A 15,539-nucleotide genomic window follows, 5' to 3' on the forward strand; every position below is an offset into this window, starting at 1 on the left:
GAACCTTAAAATTTGTTTTCATTTGATCTTTGAAAAAAGTATTTAATCAGTTCTAACGACGGAAGTCTTCTTCTGCAGTGATAATTCACAATGAAAGACATTTAAGCTGACGTTTCTCTAATGGGTTTTTAAGATTCCAGCTCCAAGGGACTGTGAGAAATTATTTTCTTATATAAAAGGTTGTGAATATTATCAACATTTATCTAAGCCCATAAGTCATAAATCCCACCAGGCATTAAATTTTCAAGGGAGCTTTTAAAACATAGATTACCCTGTCTCCCACTCCAGAACTGCTAGGGGTAAGGTCTGGGGAATCTGTATTTCACATGGTCCCCAAGTGATTGTAACCAGCAGATGACCTCATGGGCAGGGATTTCCTACATACGAGGCTCTGGCCTCTGTGTCTTGTCAGTCAGCATTTTTAAGTACAAAGGAACCTTTCCCTTCCCAACTACAAAATCTTACCTTTCTGTTTCCCCTCCTAGAAAACTGGATCAGAACAATGCTTCTCAAAGTGTAGTCCCCAAACAAGCCGCAAACAGCATCACCTACGATCTTATCAGAATACAAATTCTCCAGCCCCACCCCAGACCTACTAAGTTAGAAATTATGGGCACGGAGCAAATGCATTCATGTGTTTTAACAAGTCCTCCCAGTGATTCTGACACCTGCTAAAGTTTGAGAACCACTGGATTCGAAAATTTCACAATTTCAAGAAAGAAGTAATGAAGAAAGACACACCATGTAAGGTAGAACCAAGTTTATTAATGACAGCCTTTATTACAATCACTCTCAAGTGTAAAAAATAAAGGGTGATTAATTAATATTTAAAACTCACTCGGACTTGCTGTTTGGCCTTTCAGTGGATGTGCCAAAGGGCAGGGATCTTGCCTGATTCTGAATCAATTGGCCAGATGGAGTTCACTGGAGAATGAGGCAATCAACAAAAAAGACAAATGATGCCAACTGGAGAGAGCTCGTGTCTTCTCCATGTTGGAAGGACATTACAAAATGGCAACTGTGGTGGGGGCAGAGATGAAGTAAGACAACCTTACAGTCGGAGTAAGATGTGAATACCTCTACCTATACAGAGACAAAAACACACACATGCAGAGCCATACACACACCCAAACAGTGAACACAGTTTTGAAAATAATTTCCTTTTTGTCCTTTCTCTGAGCAGACTGACACATTCATCGGCCACCACCATGCACCATGGGGCTGAAATGGAAAACCTCGCTTAATTTCCACAAAGTATTCTAGCTGGCTGCCCAGTTATGTGCTGGCAAATCTGTCCGCACCGAAAAATGTGCCTGTGGTTTTCCCAGAGTTCCACAGACTGATATCTGCTCCCCAGGAGGGCAACATCCGGTGGACACCAGCTGGATTAAAATCTAGAGGGCAAAACTCGTCCCTCCCACCTAAAGTGGGGGCAGGAGCGGCAGCACCAGGAAGTGGTTTCCCACTTTGTGTTACAGAGTACTTGCCCCAGTTCAACGCATTCCCCTCCAAAGTATTTGTGCTTTGATACCATCCTGATGGTTAGTCTGCAATAAGAGAACTGAAGGAGCTATGGCCATGCACTATTTTCTTTTTTTAATAAAAGCAAACTAAAACTGGAGGAAGAAAAAGAAACCATTAGAAGCTTTTGACTGGGTCAATGTTGTTTCCAAATTGGGTTTAATTCCATTCAAAGAGAAAGAAGGGGAGGGTGCAGAAAAGGCCACTCAGATCGACTCTGGAAGAGATCATCAAGACCAGGGAAGCATTTGGATGGTACAGCTGGTCTCTTCCCAGCCAGACTGGGAGGACATGCCACAACCTCCCAAGGCTGTGAACCTAGGAAATAAGTGCTGACCAAATAACATATTTCAATGTTTGTAGAAAAGCTGGCAGGAAAGGGAGATGATGGATTCAGATTCACAGGTCATGCAGATTAAGACTTAATCAAAAATTAATGCTTGAGCTGAGTAAGAAAACACTAAAATTTAAGTGGAACTGTATCATAGCTTTCACCTTTGGAAGACGAAAAACAACAAACATACAAAACAAAATGACCCAGAATATTCCAGAGTTTCCAAAAATCCAACTGCTAATTTTGGCAGGGTGAGAAGAAGGGGATATTTAACTGATACCTCTTCATTAACCTCATTTTCTCCTTGAATTTCACTGATAAACAAAGCTCAGGTCTACTTAGAAAAACGATCAGTCCTGCTAAAATACAGCCTCATGACGTCTTCCAATGCCCTTGCTCGGTGCACATGAAATACACAACTTCTCTTATAAGGAGACTTTCCAGGATAGACCAAGTGTGCTCGCCCAAGTGACTTGCTGAATACCATCACAAAATCTGAACCCAAAGATGAGTTGTTTTCTTCTTCAGATGAGAGTTGCAAGTGTTTCCTAAAATGTACATGGAGGGATGCCCACAAACCACTGCCCTCCCAGGTGAGGGGCTGAGTCTTTGAGGAGATGCACTCCTTCAGGCCATGGAACAGAAAGAAGGTGGTCCGTCCAAGGTGTGGTGAAGAGCAAAGCTGCCTCTCCCAGCCCTCCAATTACGGAAGATGAGGACAAGAATGTATTTTCTGCACATTCAAGTACATCTGGGTCCCCTACCCTCCCTTTTTTTCTTTTTTGGTAAGCATCTAACTGTCCATAAATTCATGGCTACAGTAGAGATTCACGGCGCAACGACTTTCATACTGGTTATTTTTTTTTTTAATTCTGTCAGTGAGCAGCATTTCCCAGTTTTACACTCCCCTAATGGCAGCTCCATTAGGCGAGACTGCAGGCTGCATCTGTGATTAGGTCCATGCAGCTCGAAGATCAGTTCGGCACGCGGGAGGGTCCCGAAAGCTGGGTCTGTCCAGTGTCTTGCAGCAGCGGTTGCAGGGGGTCTACCAGCTCGCCCTGACAGCTTCGATATCGCTAACCAAATTCTGGGCCAGGCATATCCCAAATATCTGAGAAAGGAAGAAAATGTGAGTGAAACAGTGACACTTGTAACTTGTTTCCCTGGCCACTGTGTCCCATTTTTTTAAATCATTGATTTTTGAAATTTAAGATGTAATTCATATGTGGTAAAAAGCATCCTTGAAATGTGTATAATTCAGGGGCTTTTAGTATATTCACAAAGCTATGCAACTATCACCACTATCTAATCACAGAACATTTCATTACCCCAAAAAGAAACCCTGTACCTGTGAGCAGTCATTCCCATCCCACCATCCCTACAGACCTAGCAACCACTAATCTACTTCCTGCCTCTGTGGATTTGCCTCTTCTGGACATTTCATATCAAGGGAATCATATAATATGGGGCTTTTGTGGCTGTCTTTTTCATGTAGCAAAATATTTTCAAGGTTCATATACATGTGCTATTAATTTATTCCTTTTGATGGTTGAATGATATTCCATGGCATGGATATGCCCCATTTTGTTTATCTACTCCTCAGTTGATGTGTATTTGCATTGCTCTCACATTTTGGCAATTATGAATAATTCTGCTATGAACATGAGCATACAAGTTTTTGGGTAAACACTTTCTCAATTCTTTTGGGTACTCCTCTAGGAGTAGAATTGCTGACTCATATGGTAGCACTATATTTAACTTTTGAGAAACTGCTAAATTGTTTCCCAAAGAGGTTGCAACATTTTCATTTCCATTAGCAACATATGAGGGTTTCGTTTTCTCCACATCCTTGCCGATACTTGTTATTGTCTGTCTTTTTTATTCTAACCGCTTTAACGAGTATGAAATATGTGGCTTTGAATTGCATTTCCTTAATGACTACTGACGTTGGCATCTTTTCATGTGCTTATTAGCCATTTTTTTTTTTTTTTTTTGAGACGGAGTCTCGCTCTGTCGCCCAGGCCGGACTGCGGACTGCAGTGGCGCAATCTCGGCTCACTGCAAGCTCCGCTTCCCGGGTTCACGCCATTCTCCTGCCTCAGCCTCCCGAGTAGCTGGGACTACAGGCGCCCGCCACCGCGCCCGGCTAATTTTTTGTATTTTTAGTAGAGACGGGGTTTCACCTTGTTAGCCAGGATGGTCTCGATCTCCTGACCTCATGATCCACCCGCCTCGGCCTTTATTAGCAATTTTAATCTTTAGAGAAATGTCTGTTCAGATCCTCTGCCCGTATTTTTGTTTGTTTGTTTGTTTTTTAATAATTTAAGGGACTGGGTTTTGCTCTGTTGCCCAGGCTGGAGTACAGTGGCGTGATCATAGCTCAGTGCAGGCTCCTGCCTCTGCTTCCCAAGCAGCTGGGATTACAGGGACAAGTCACCATGCCTGGCTGCCCATTTTTAAGTTGTTTGTCTTTTTATTGTTGACTTTTTAAAGTTCTTTATTTTTCTAGATACTAGGAGTTATCTTTTCACTGTCTTGATGGTATCATTTTCAGCACAGTTTTAAATTTTGAAGTCCAATTTATTTACATTTGTTTCATTGCTTATGCTTTTGATGTCATATCTAAGAAGACACTGCTTAATCCAAAGTCACAAATATTTATGCCTATGTTTTCTTCTGGAGTTCTATAGCATTAGCTCTTATATTTAGGTCTTTGCTTTATTTTGAGTTAATTTTTACATATGGTGTGAGTTAGTCTAAATTCATTATTTTGCATATCTAGTTTTCCCAGTACCATTTGTTGAAATGACTGCTCTTTCCCTATTGAATGGTTTTGGTTCCCTTGTCAAAAATCAACTGACCATATACGTACGAGCTTATTTCATCTTCTTTTTTGAGATAGGATCTTGCTCTGTCACCCAGGCTGGAGTGCAATGGCATGATCTCAGCTCACTGCAACCTCCCAGGCTCAAGTGATCCTCCCTCCTCAGCCCCCCAAGTAGCTGGGACCACAGGCATGCGCCATCATGCCCAGCTAACTTTTGTATATTTTGTAGAGACAGGGTTTTGTCATGTTGCCCAGGCTGTTTTGAAACTCCTGAGCTCAAGTGATCCACCTGACTCAGCCTCCCAAAGTTCTGGAATTACAGGCATGAGCCACTGCACCCGGCCTTATTTCTTCTTTTTAATCATATATATTTTTTTCTTATTTTTTTGAGACAAGGTCTTGCTCTGTCACCCAGGTTAGAGTGCAGTTGCATAATCACGACTCACTGCAGCTTCAACCTTCTGGGCTCAAGCAATCCTCCCACTTCAGCCTGCTGAGTAGCTAGGACCACAGGCATGTGCCATTACATTTGGCTAATTTTTTTATTTTTACTTTTTGTAGAGACAAGGACTTGCTATGTTGCTCAGGCTGGTCTTGAACTCCTGGGCTCAAGCCATCCTCCTGCCTTGGTCTCTCAAAGTGCTGGGATTACATCCATGAGCTACCACACCTGGCCTGGTTTTATTTCTTGATTTTTCAATTTTATTCCACTTCTCTATATGGCTAATCTTACTCAAGTACACACTATGTTGATTACTATATAGCTTTGTACTAAGTTTTGAACTGGGTAGTGTGAATTCTCCAACTTTGTTTTACTTTTGCAAATTTGTTTTGGCTATTATGGGTCCCTTGCTTTTCCATATGAATTTTAGGATCAGCTTGTCCATTTTTGCTAAAAAGGTGGTTACAATTTTGATAGGGATTACACTGAATCTGTAGATCAACTTGATGAGTGTTGTTACCTTAATAATATGAAGTTTTGCAATTGTGAACACAGGATATCTTTATATTTACTTAGGTCTTCTTTAATTTGTTTCAACTATGTGCTCTTTGGAAAGTATCACACCAACAACATGAAGAGTCCAGCTCTTAAGACTGGCCAGGAGGAAAAGTGGGTGCTCCCTTCCTTCACTAGCACTTTGGCAAGGTAGTTTAGGGAGAGAAAGGGGTATGACATCTCTGTGAAACTTCCCAAAACCTTAACGTCACCACTGAGATCTACTTCTAACTATGCATGTTTGACTCAGTTGCCACAATGCAGTATTTTTGAGCCCATGTAAACGATGGAATGCCAGTAGGCAACCACTATCTAATTAATGTCTCCATCTTAGAAAAAGACAAGGTTTCCTAAAGTATTTCATGATAGTAGCATCTAAACTCAGAGCTTTAATAAAACACAAATCAGGCCAGGCACGGTGGATCACTCCTGTAATCCCAGCACTTTGGGAGGCCGAGATGGGCGGATCACGAGGTCAGGAGATCGAGACCATCCTAGCTAACACGGTGAAACCCCGTCTCTATTAAAAATACAAAAAAATTAGCCGGGCGTAGTGGCGGGCACCTGTAGTCCCAGCTACTCGGGAGGCTGAGGCAGGAGAATGGCATGAACCCAAGAGGCGGAGCTTTCAGTGAGCCAAGATCATGCCACTGCACTCTAGCCTGGGCGACAGAGCAAGACTCCATCTCAAAAAAAAATTAATAAATAAAATAAATAAATAAATGAATAAAATAAAACACAAACCAAATCGTTTAGGTCTGTTCCTCAGCCCTCCAATGTGTCTTAAAAACTATGACAATCAAGGTTTTTAAGCAAAGCTCCGATCCTGGCAAGGGCTCTCCCAGGGCATTATTTCCCTGTGATATCCATAAAGGACCCTTATCTTACCTGCAGCAATGCAATGCCTATGAAAATACCAGCAACGATGGTTAAATTGTCCTGCAACCACTTCTCAAACTGGGGCACACAGCCTTTCGTGTAGATTACAATCTGCTGGTCAACTTCCTTCACAAGAGAAGAGGAGAGCACATTGTCACAGATAGAGCACCAGGCACAGGCCAAAGCTCCTCCAACACCCTTCGTGCTAAGCAACAACATGAGATTCCACTTACTGGTTTTTGCCTGGCATCATAGCCACACTGAGTGTTGATGACATCTTCCTGGTGAAGAAAGGAAAGAGAAAAGTGAAATTTACTCATTAGACAGAAAGCCCACCTAGAAATGAGCAGAAGACTTCTGTTACGCATTAGTAATAAAATGTGTATCTGGGCACAAAGACTGCAGCACTATGTTAAACACTTTATATACATGATCCCATGTCATTATTGCGACAATCTTCAGAAGTAGGTATTAAAATATGCCCTATTTTACAAATAAGGAAAACTAAGGCTTGGGGAATATCAGAAAAGACAGCAAGTCTATCACACAGGAGGCTCAAGATTCAAAGTGGTGCCAACCTCAAGAAGCTTATGGGATTTAGGGAACTGGAGACACAGATAAAAAACATAAAGGGCACAGTGAATCTTCATGTATGCTCTTTTGGATGGACTGCTACTTTTTAATCTATGTACTTCCATGTTACTTAAATTGTTTTTCAATGAGCTTTTAATAATTAAAAAACAAAACAATGCCCCGACCACATAATCACACAGACAACCTGACGTCTCACAGGGTCTGATCAGAAACATGGTTCCACTTTTTCGGGTTGTTTATTTTCCTTCTCTGCGGGGTGTGGGGCAGATTTTATTAGCTTAGAGCGCAAGGAATGAGCTAGCTCTGCCCAGAGGATCTGTAGGTGAAAGGGGAAGCATTAATGCCTCTGAGAATACAGAATTCTCCCAAGGGAGTGTTAATGTGGGACAGGAACTGGCGACAGGAGGCGCACTGTGCGGCACCCGCTGGCCAGTGCAAGGCCACCAGGATGAGCCCCTCAAGCTCTGAGTGGGCACTCTGCTGCCATGTGGCTCTCCTCAGAAGGGAGAGGAGGTTTGAGCTGGTGGGAAGGGCAGCTGGCGGGGCAGCACAGTCCTTAGTGACTTTGTCTCCTCTTTCAGACCAAGAGAAACAGCTGAGGTGGTCCCCTGGAGGAAGCCCACAGGGAAGTTCTGCTTTTCCACTCCAAGACCATAGCTCCTTTTAAGAGCCCCACAGCCTCCACCATAAGAAGGAGCATCCCCACTGAGCTCATCAGCACCCACTCGGCTCTGCTTCTGAGGGGTAAGGGCGAGCCTTGGGGAGTACATCTGGAGACTGCAGGGCCAGAGAACAGTTGAGGAGTCCCAGAAGGGTTCTGCAGCTAGGAGCACACAGAGATGCGTGGAGTAACCTCTCATGTTTGTCATTCTAACACTAGAGAGTTACCTTTTTTTTTTTTTTTTAAGAATTGTGGTCTCACTCTGTCACCAGGATGGAGGGCAGTGGCATGATCATGGCTCACTGCAGCCTCAAACTCCTGGGCTCAAGTGATCCTGTTTCAGCCTCCAGAGTAGATGGGACCACGGGTGTGTGCCACCACACATGGCTAATTTTTTAATTTTTTTGTAGAGATGGGGTCTCACTATGTTGCTCAGGCTGGTCTTTAACTCCTGGGCTCAAGGGATCCTCCCACCTCAGCCTGCCAAAGTGCTGGGATTACAGGTGTGAACTACTATGCCTGGCTTAAGAATTGCATTTTAAGTCATTCTATATACCAGGCACGATTTGACACAAAATATAATCAAACCTGTGGCAAAAGTGAGTGACTTACAAATAGATTTTATATTTTATTCTTTTTTATAATAAAATGCAAACTGCATGACTATAGTCATGATGACATTCAGGAGTCTGGGCAGCTGTGGTCTTCCTACACAGCAGTCCAGGCCTATCTTGTCTCAAACTCTCCTCCTACTCCTAATAGTTCCCCTAGAACTAAGCCAAAAAGAAAAGGGTTACTAACCCCAAACCAATGCAGAGAGCTCTCATATGAGCCTGCCCTTCTCATGAAGAAAGGCTAACAGATGATACAGGCAAGTTGCCTGGGTCTCATATTCCACTCCATTGCCTGCTAGCAGTGCAAGCTTGGGAAAGTCACTTACACCTCATGTGCCTTGATTTCTTCCCCTGAAAAGGGAGGGTAATGGTGGTATCTGCCAGTAGGAATGTGCCCAACTTAAATGAGCCAACACACATAAAGGCTTAGAATAGGAACCAGCACACACTGCTAAATTAATGCCAGCAATTATTACTCCTACTAGGAAGATTTGAGCACCATAACCCCCTACAGGAGCTACAAATACGAGTAACCAGGTAAGAAGAGGGTTCAACCAAAAAATCACTCTGCTCGTCCCATGCACACTCTCGGCATGATGTACAGAGTAGGCCAATAGTTCGCTGGCATTCACTTACTGCGGGATCTTTAGTGCAGCAGGAGAATGGAACGCCACATCGCTCTCGACTTGCATTGGAATCTGTGCAATTGAAGTAAATATTTAGGTTCCAATCATCAGCTCCAAAAGCCCCACAGCACTGCCACTAGAGCAAACAGGAAAGAATTAGAACATCCCAACTTGGAGGCAAGCAGTCACCTACACTCACACCCGCCGAACGACACCAGCTTCTGCCAGCTCTGACCTTCTTTTCTGTCCTAGACTTTATTTTTAAGCCAAACTGAACCTAAATGGCCCATATAAAATCTTCCAAATTAATTAGGGCTGAAGGTTTGTAGGGATGTGTTGGCACGTGATTTAAACAACTGATGAGACCTGTGGTGTTAGGTGGAAGAAGGGCAGAGCAGCTGTACAGCAGGGCTCAGTTAGAACAAGATCTGTTTGGCTTGGGCACGTCATTCTAGAAGGAGAAACAAGAACATTCTAGAAGGGTAAATAAGACACTAACGACAGTGGTAGTGACTGAAGGAGGCAACTGGGGTTATGGGTGGGCTAACTATAGCTTACTTTTTCAAAGTTTTGATCTCTACATTCTAATAGTTTTTTTAAAGATCTGTTTTGTTTTATGGAGCGCAGGGAGACCCCCTGAAACTATTGCTATGGAATAAAAGATGAAATGCTCCTGATTACTGGAAATACAAAATTGCATGCAGGATTGTGTAAAGACAATGCCAGGTTGGACTGCCAGAATGAGCCAACAGTGCGTGATGTGCTTCCCCCTGCAGAGAGCCTATGAATGGACGTGCAGTCAGGGAGGTTTCACATCACCAAGATTCCTATCCCAGAAAAGCAGATGTTCATAGCTCTGGGAATAGAATGCGACCTTTGTGGAGAGCCTATAAACAGACACATGAGGGGCACCTGTCCATATGTATAAGACAGGGCTATAAATGCCCTCATCTTGCCACGGCTCTTCTAGACCTCTTTAGGGTTAAGGCATACTCCCTTCTGAGAATTTCTGGTCTAACTGGTTGTGTAGCTTCACGTCCTGTTTCTATGGATTGTTTGTAACTGGCTTTTGCTGCAACTGTTACTGCTGACTAATATCTTGCTAATCATAGGTTGTGGAAAGACTGTGTTTCTGTTTTAAGGCTCTGTTAGAAATTACTGAAGCACACACTATATTGTAAATTCTTATCCCTGTATACTGTACTTTTGCATACAGATGTTATGTTAAAGAATTACTTCATCCCCATGTGACCATCTCACCTCATAATCAAATGACCTAAATCCCTCACTAACCTACCCCCACCCTCACTAAACTTAATAATAAATTCTGGTATATCCAGTGCATTGTTGGCACTGCGTGACCAGAAGGCGGTGACCCCCCTGGACCCAGCTTTCACTATCTTGTGTGTGTCTATTATTTCTCGACCTGCCGATCCGCCTGGGAACAGAGAGATCCCTGTTGCATTGCAGGCTGCTGGCCAGATCCCGCAATAATGGAGGTATAACTGACATACAATAAATTGCACATTTTAAAGTATACAATTTGATAAATTTTGACATCTGTATACATCACAAAAATGTCACCACAATCAATGGATATATAGTTGATATATCCATTACCACCAAAAATTTTAGAGGTTAACTTTTCATCATATTTGTTTCTACTCTGAGTTTGTTTAAAAACAAGTGCATGTGTTTTACATTTTCAACTTTAAAAAGTCAGTCTTCCAATTAAAATATATTAAAACAAGCGGTTAAATTCAGTGGTTCTTAAATGGGGCCGGAGTCAAAGGCTACTACACAAGCCCCTTCCTCACTTCCCTGGGATGCACTTTCTCTACTTCTCTGAGTTAAATAAATATCAAGTCTCAACCATTTGAAGACCTTCCGGACCAACAGCTACTTCTAAACATTACATTCCATGATGCAAAAAGAAAATCACATGAAACTGTAGTATTTCCGTTTAAAGCACACAGCATCCCAAGACAACATGGTCCTTCCAGGGCTTGGGTCATGCATTTCGAGGTGTGTCCACAAAGCTCCATCAATGTGTCATGCAAACTAGTCAGGAATAATGCCAGGAAAGGGATTATTAGGGAGCCTGCACCCATTAGGACCTAATAAAACAGTGAAGTCGGCTGAGGACATGAATCAGGGCTTAATTTCCCACTTAAGGGGCAGCTTACTCCAGGACGAAATGTTGCTGCCACTGAACAAAACCACATAACCCTGCTCAGTCCTGAGTGCCTAAGGAAGGGGATGGCCTCCCTCATAAAGAGTGTCAACATGGCTGCTGCCTCCCTTCATCACAGGCAGACAACTATCCAACCCCAAGAAGGCTACCGTTCACTGGGCTTCTGCTTGCCCTCCGGTCCTGCCATATACATGAATGCCACAGACACCGCTGTCCAAGTCCAAGCTCAGCCTACCCGACTTTTCAGTGCAGGTATATAAAGACCTGCAAGTTTGTAGGACCCTAACACCTTAGCCTAATATAAAAACATGTATGTCTCATTAGTGTCATAATATCCCTGTGAGTTAGACAGTAGCTAGTATTATTTCCATTTTGCTATTGGGGAAATAGGTCAAGGTCCTGTGAGCCCAGGGTCCCTTATCAGATTTTGGCACTAGACCTGTGTCTTTTGGTCCCTTGCATTCTGAGTGAAACGGGACATCTGCTGCTTTGCTGGCACTGAAAGAGCCATTTCACAGGCATGCTCAGAGACGGGAGGGAGTGGCCTGGACTCCAATGCTCAGGGATAGGAGAGAGTGGCCCGGATTCCACTGCACAGATTCTTCACTTGTTAGAAGCCACTAGGACTTAGGAGTTTCTAAGCTTTTGCTTTTAACTGCATGTGCAATAATAATATTTGGATAGGCACATTTTAGGAACTTTGTGGCAAATTATTCTGTTGATAAGTAGATTATTATGAGCTGTGAAATATCAAGGATTACCAAAAAAGGGGGCAAGGGATAAGAAAGAATCCATATTTAATAACCAAAGAAAACTTTAAACCCGGAGCAAAACAATGTTCCTCAAATGCAAATAGGAAAGGACAGCCATGATTATAACGTTTTGCTCAAGCATTTTCTTCTTTGTTCCTCTAACTTAACAGAAGTTGAAACAAGTGAAAATAGGAAATTTCCATTTAGAATACAAATCCTGTAAGTCACAGAGCAAGTCGGAAAATAATAAACAAACAAACAAACACCCATGCAGAATAGTCAGGTAGTTTCCAGCTGGCAGATGCAGAAACCAGGAGGGATGAAATTCACTGGGGTCATCGTTCAGAGAACTTTCAACTTGAAAACAAACCACTTTAAACTTACATATTCCTGGGTGAAGTCTATGAGGTTTTGCAAATCAATGTCATCCCGATATGCTCTGATGTTGTTGTTTATAAAGAAATACAGCTGGTCTTTGATCCAGTCTTTGAAAACAAATGCTAGAACTCCGGCAGTGAGCTCCAGGAAGAAAATAATTCCCAGGAACACAGAAAACTAAGATAAAAGACACATACACAGAGAACAGTTATAAGGGCTATTTTGATCATATATAGCTAAATGGTTCCTCTCTAAACAGGTTTGTAATTACATTGGATTGTTACACATCTCCAAAGCAGATAATCTTCAGTTTCTGCTGATTCATTAATAGAATATTACACTCCAAGAAAGGACTTTTAAAAATCATTTTATAATCACATTTTAGGGTCTCTAGTGTTCCATTTGATAATTAACCAACAAAGCCCATAAGCAAACATGGATAATAAGGATTTCTCATTAGACCCACATTAAGGCCTAATTAATTTCTCATGATTAATGTACTGCCAGATGCTTGTAACAATGACCTGCCCCTATCTCTAGTAAGCTTCTGTAACTTGAAAGATAGATTATTCCAATATTTTAAGATCGCCTGTCACTTGTTACTGTGGCCTTGATTCTCTATGCAATATATTCCTTTTATGGATTCAGACACCATTTTAATTCTCTTTTGCACCTGCTATACAGGGTAAAATAACAGATGTGTTCATCTTAGATGAAGGGGTCAAAGAGGAAGTAGTGGGGTGGGCAGTGACCGCGAAATGAAAGTTATTTCCCATCATAAAAACAAAATGAAACCCCTGAGTTGAGGGCTTTCCTGGGAATGCTAGCTGTGCTTGCCTTCCTCTAGGAAGCATGGGCCCCAGCAACATTTTAAGTGACATCAAAATGCAGCCAAGGGGAGACTTCCGCTTAATGTAGACAACAGGGGTTTTAAAAGAGGGGCTCAAGACCATGAGGCAACGTGGTAACTGCCCGTAACTCTGGAGAAATTCCCCTTCCATCTAGAAGACTCAGAAGAGTCTCAGCTTAGTCATATCGACTTACTGCTCACGCCCACTGTTTTTTCCACCTCCTACCATCCTGTATTCTTAACCTTCTCAAACTTTGTTGTTAAAATAGATTATGAGAAATGAGCTGTGAAGGACCAGAGGGTACAGTGCGGGTAAATTTCTGGTGACAACAGCAGAGAGGGTGACATGGGCCACAACTGCTGGGCAGAGGTCCTGAAGGCCACATGCAGAAGAACAGTGAGCAGCTGAGGAGGCAGGGGGTGCTCAGGTGGTCTGCGGTTCTATCTTCAGCAAGCAGACAAGGAGCTGCCAGCCAAGAGAAAAATGTATTGGGGAGGGGTGCAAAGGAAACAGCAGTTACTCATTAAAAGAACAAAAGACAAACAATGTTTATTCATTCAGCAAACATCTACTGAATGACCCACAATGAGTCAGGCCCTGAGGTAGGTGGGCTTTGCAGAAACAAGGATGAGTAAGAACAAGGGGTATCCTTGCCTTCGAAGATGTCCCAGTCTTATGTGATTAGGGAGGCTAGGCAGGGAGTGGGTATCTGCAGACATTAGATGTCTGTAGATCTGGCAGTATTTGTCTAGGGTGCCAAGTACTGCTCTGTGAGGGTGGGCACGGGAGGAGGAGTGGAAGGTGGAAATAAGTGTTTGGCAAAGTTTTTGGACTCCCAGGTTAAGGCCCCAATTCTAGACCCTCCAGCTCAGCCCTTCAGGTTTCCCTAGAGTTCCTGATTATATATCCTTCAGGAATTCGCCAGAAATGGAATTTAAACAGTTCTTAATTATCATCAGTGATGCCAATAATTTCAATTTAAACTTTCCCCAATCTAGAAAAATGAACAGAAAAAATATCACACCACTTCTGCTCAATGCCTACCCTACAGTGTAAATAACGCCCTGCCCTGTATTAGGCCCCACCTTAAGCATGTAAATATGAATTATGAATTATCACAGTACAGAAATGACAAAATTATAGCTAGCATGCATGAGCATACACAGGAAACACCAAGTCAGGGAAAGATTTTAATTCAGTTTTTGTTCTCACCTCCATAAAAGTTAAGTGCATTTTCCAGTTCCCCTGGTAAATTTTCTCTTCATGTTACATATTATACATACCAAAAATTGAGTCCAAATTCAATTCATATAAAATATTTGGCAGATACCTACATGCCCCAAGCCCTGTTGAGCTAATTTCCTCTATTTCCAAAGGTGCAGACACTGACTCACAGGCTTCACCCTAGAGCCTCGGTCAACCAAGAAGGTCTATTTCCATTTTGCAGTATCTTAGTTCCTAGATTTTCCCTCAGCAAGTCTCCTAGGGGAATCAGATCTTTAGAGCTATTTGGAGTCCTGTGGACGTTTACTTACTACTTATCTCATACCTTCTGTTCGAAGATTATTCCAGGCAAGTTTTTATTGTTTGTCCTAAATGGAGAGAGGCCATTTAAGATATTTTCCAAGTCTTAAAAGCCAAGAAACAACACAATTCTCTTCATTTCCAACATGAGACTTTATAAATTAAGGTGCTGATTTAGAGAAATGTGTAGTTTTCTGCCTGTTCAGTTAACACTGGACTCTTCAACTGTAAGAAATGATAAACTATATTAAAGGGGCCACCACTATAAATGAAACTATATTAAAGTAAATCACAATTAAGGGGACTGAGCAGGTGCAGTGGCTCATGCCTGTAATCCCAGCATTCTGGGAGGCTGAGCAAGGTGGATCACTTGAGGTCCGGAGTTCAAGACCAGCCTGGCCAACATGGTGAAACCCCATCTTTACTTAAAAAAAAAAAATACAATTCAGAGGATCCCAGCCAGGTATGGTGGCTCACGCCTGTAATCCCAGCACTTTGGGAGGCTGAGGCGGGTGGATCACCTGAGGTCGGGAGTTTGAGACCAGCCTGGCCAACATGGTGAAACCCCATCTCTACTAAAAATGAAAAAATTAGCCAGGCACGGTGGTAGGCTCCTGTAATCCCAGCTACCCGGGAGGCTGAGGCAGGAGAATCGCTTGAATCCAGGAGGCAGAGGTTGCAGTGAGCCGAGATCACACCATTGCACTCCAGCCTGGGCAACAAGAGTGAAACTCCATCTAAAAAAAAAAAAAAAAGGATCCCACATTTTGGGGCATGGAGGCCGAAA

The 15,539-nt window shown here is 42.7% G+C and overlaps 1 protein-coding gene across 7 annotated transcripts in view; it reads right to left on the reverse strand.

Moving 5' to 3' along the window:
- Positions 746 to 15,539, reverse strand: part of TSPAN5 (tetraspanin 5) — a 188,245-nt gene continuing 173,451 nt past the window's right edge. For 5 of the 7 annotated variants that reach the window (XM_005262680.2, NM_005723.4, XM_047449475.1 and 2 more), the window contains 5 exons: positions 12,384 to 12,554; positions 9,064 to 9,189; positions 6,792 to 6,839; positions 6,568 to 6,684; positions 746 to 2,966 (listed from right to left, as the gene is read on the reverse strand). In XM_005262680.2, the coding sequence (XP_005262737.1) occupies positions 2,901 to 2,966; positions 6,568 to 6,684; positions 6,792 to 6,839; positions 9,064 to 9,189; positions 12,384 to 12,554 (528 nt within the window). In that variant the 3' untranslated portion in view covers positions 746 to 2,900. Of the gene's footprint in view, positions 2,967 to 6,567; positions 6,685 to 6,791; positions 6,840 to 9,063; positions 9,190 to 12,383; positions 12,555 to 15,539 lie in introns of those variants that run through there. The other 2 variants (XM_047449477.1, XM_047449476.1) reach the window with 2 other exon arrangements.

The sequence above is a fragment of the Homo sapiens genome, chromosome 4, assembly GCF_000001405.40.
Source record: "Homo sapiens chromosome 4, GRCh38.p14 Primary Assembly".
Lineage (NCBI taxonomy): Eukaryota > Metazoa > Chordata > Mammalia > Primates > Hominidae > Homo > Homo sapiens.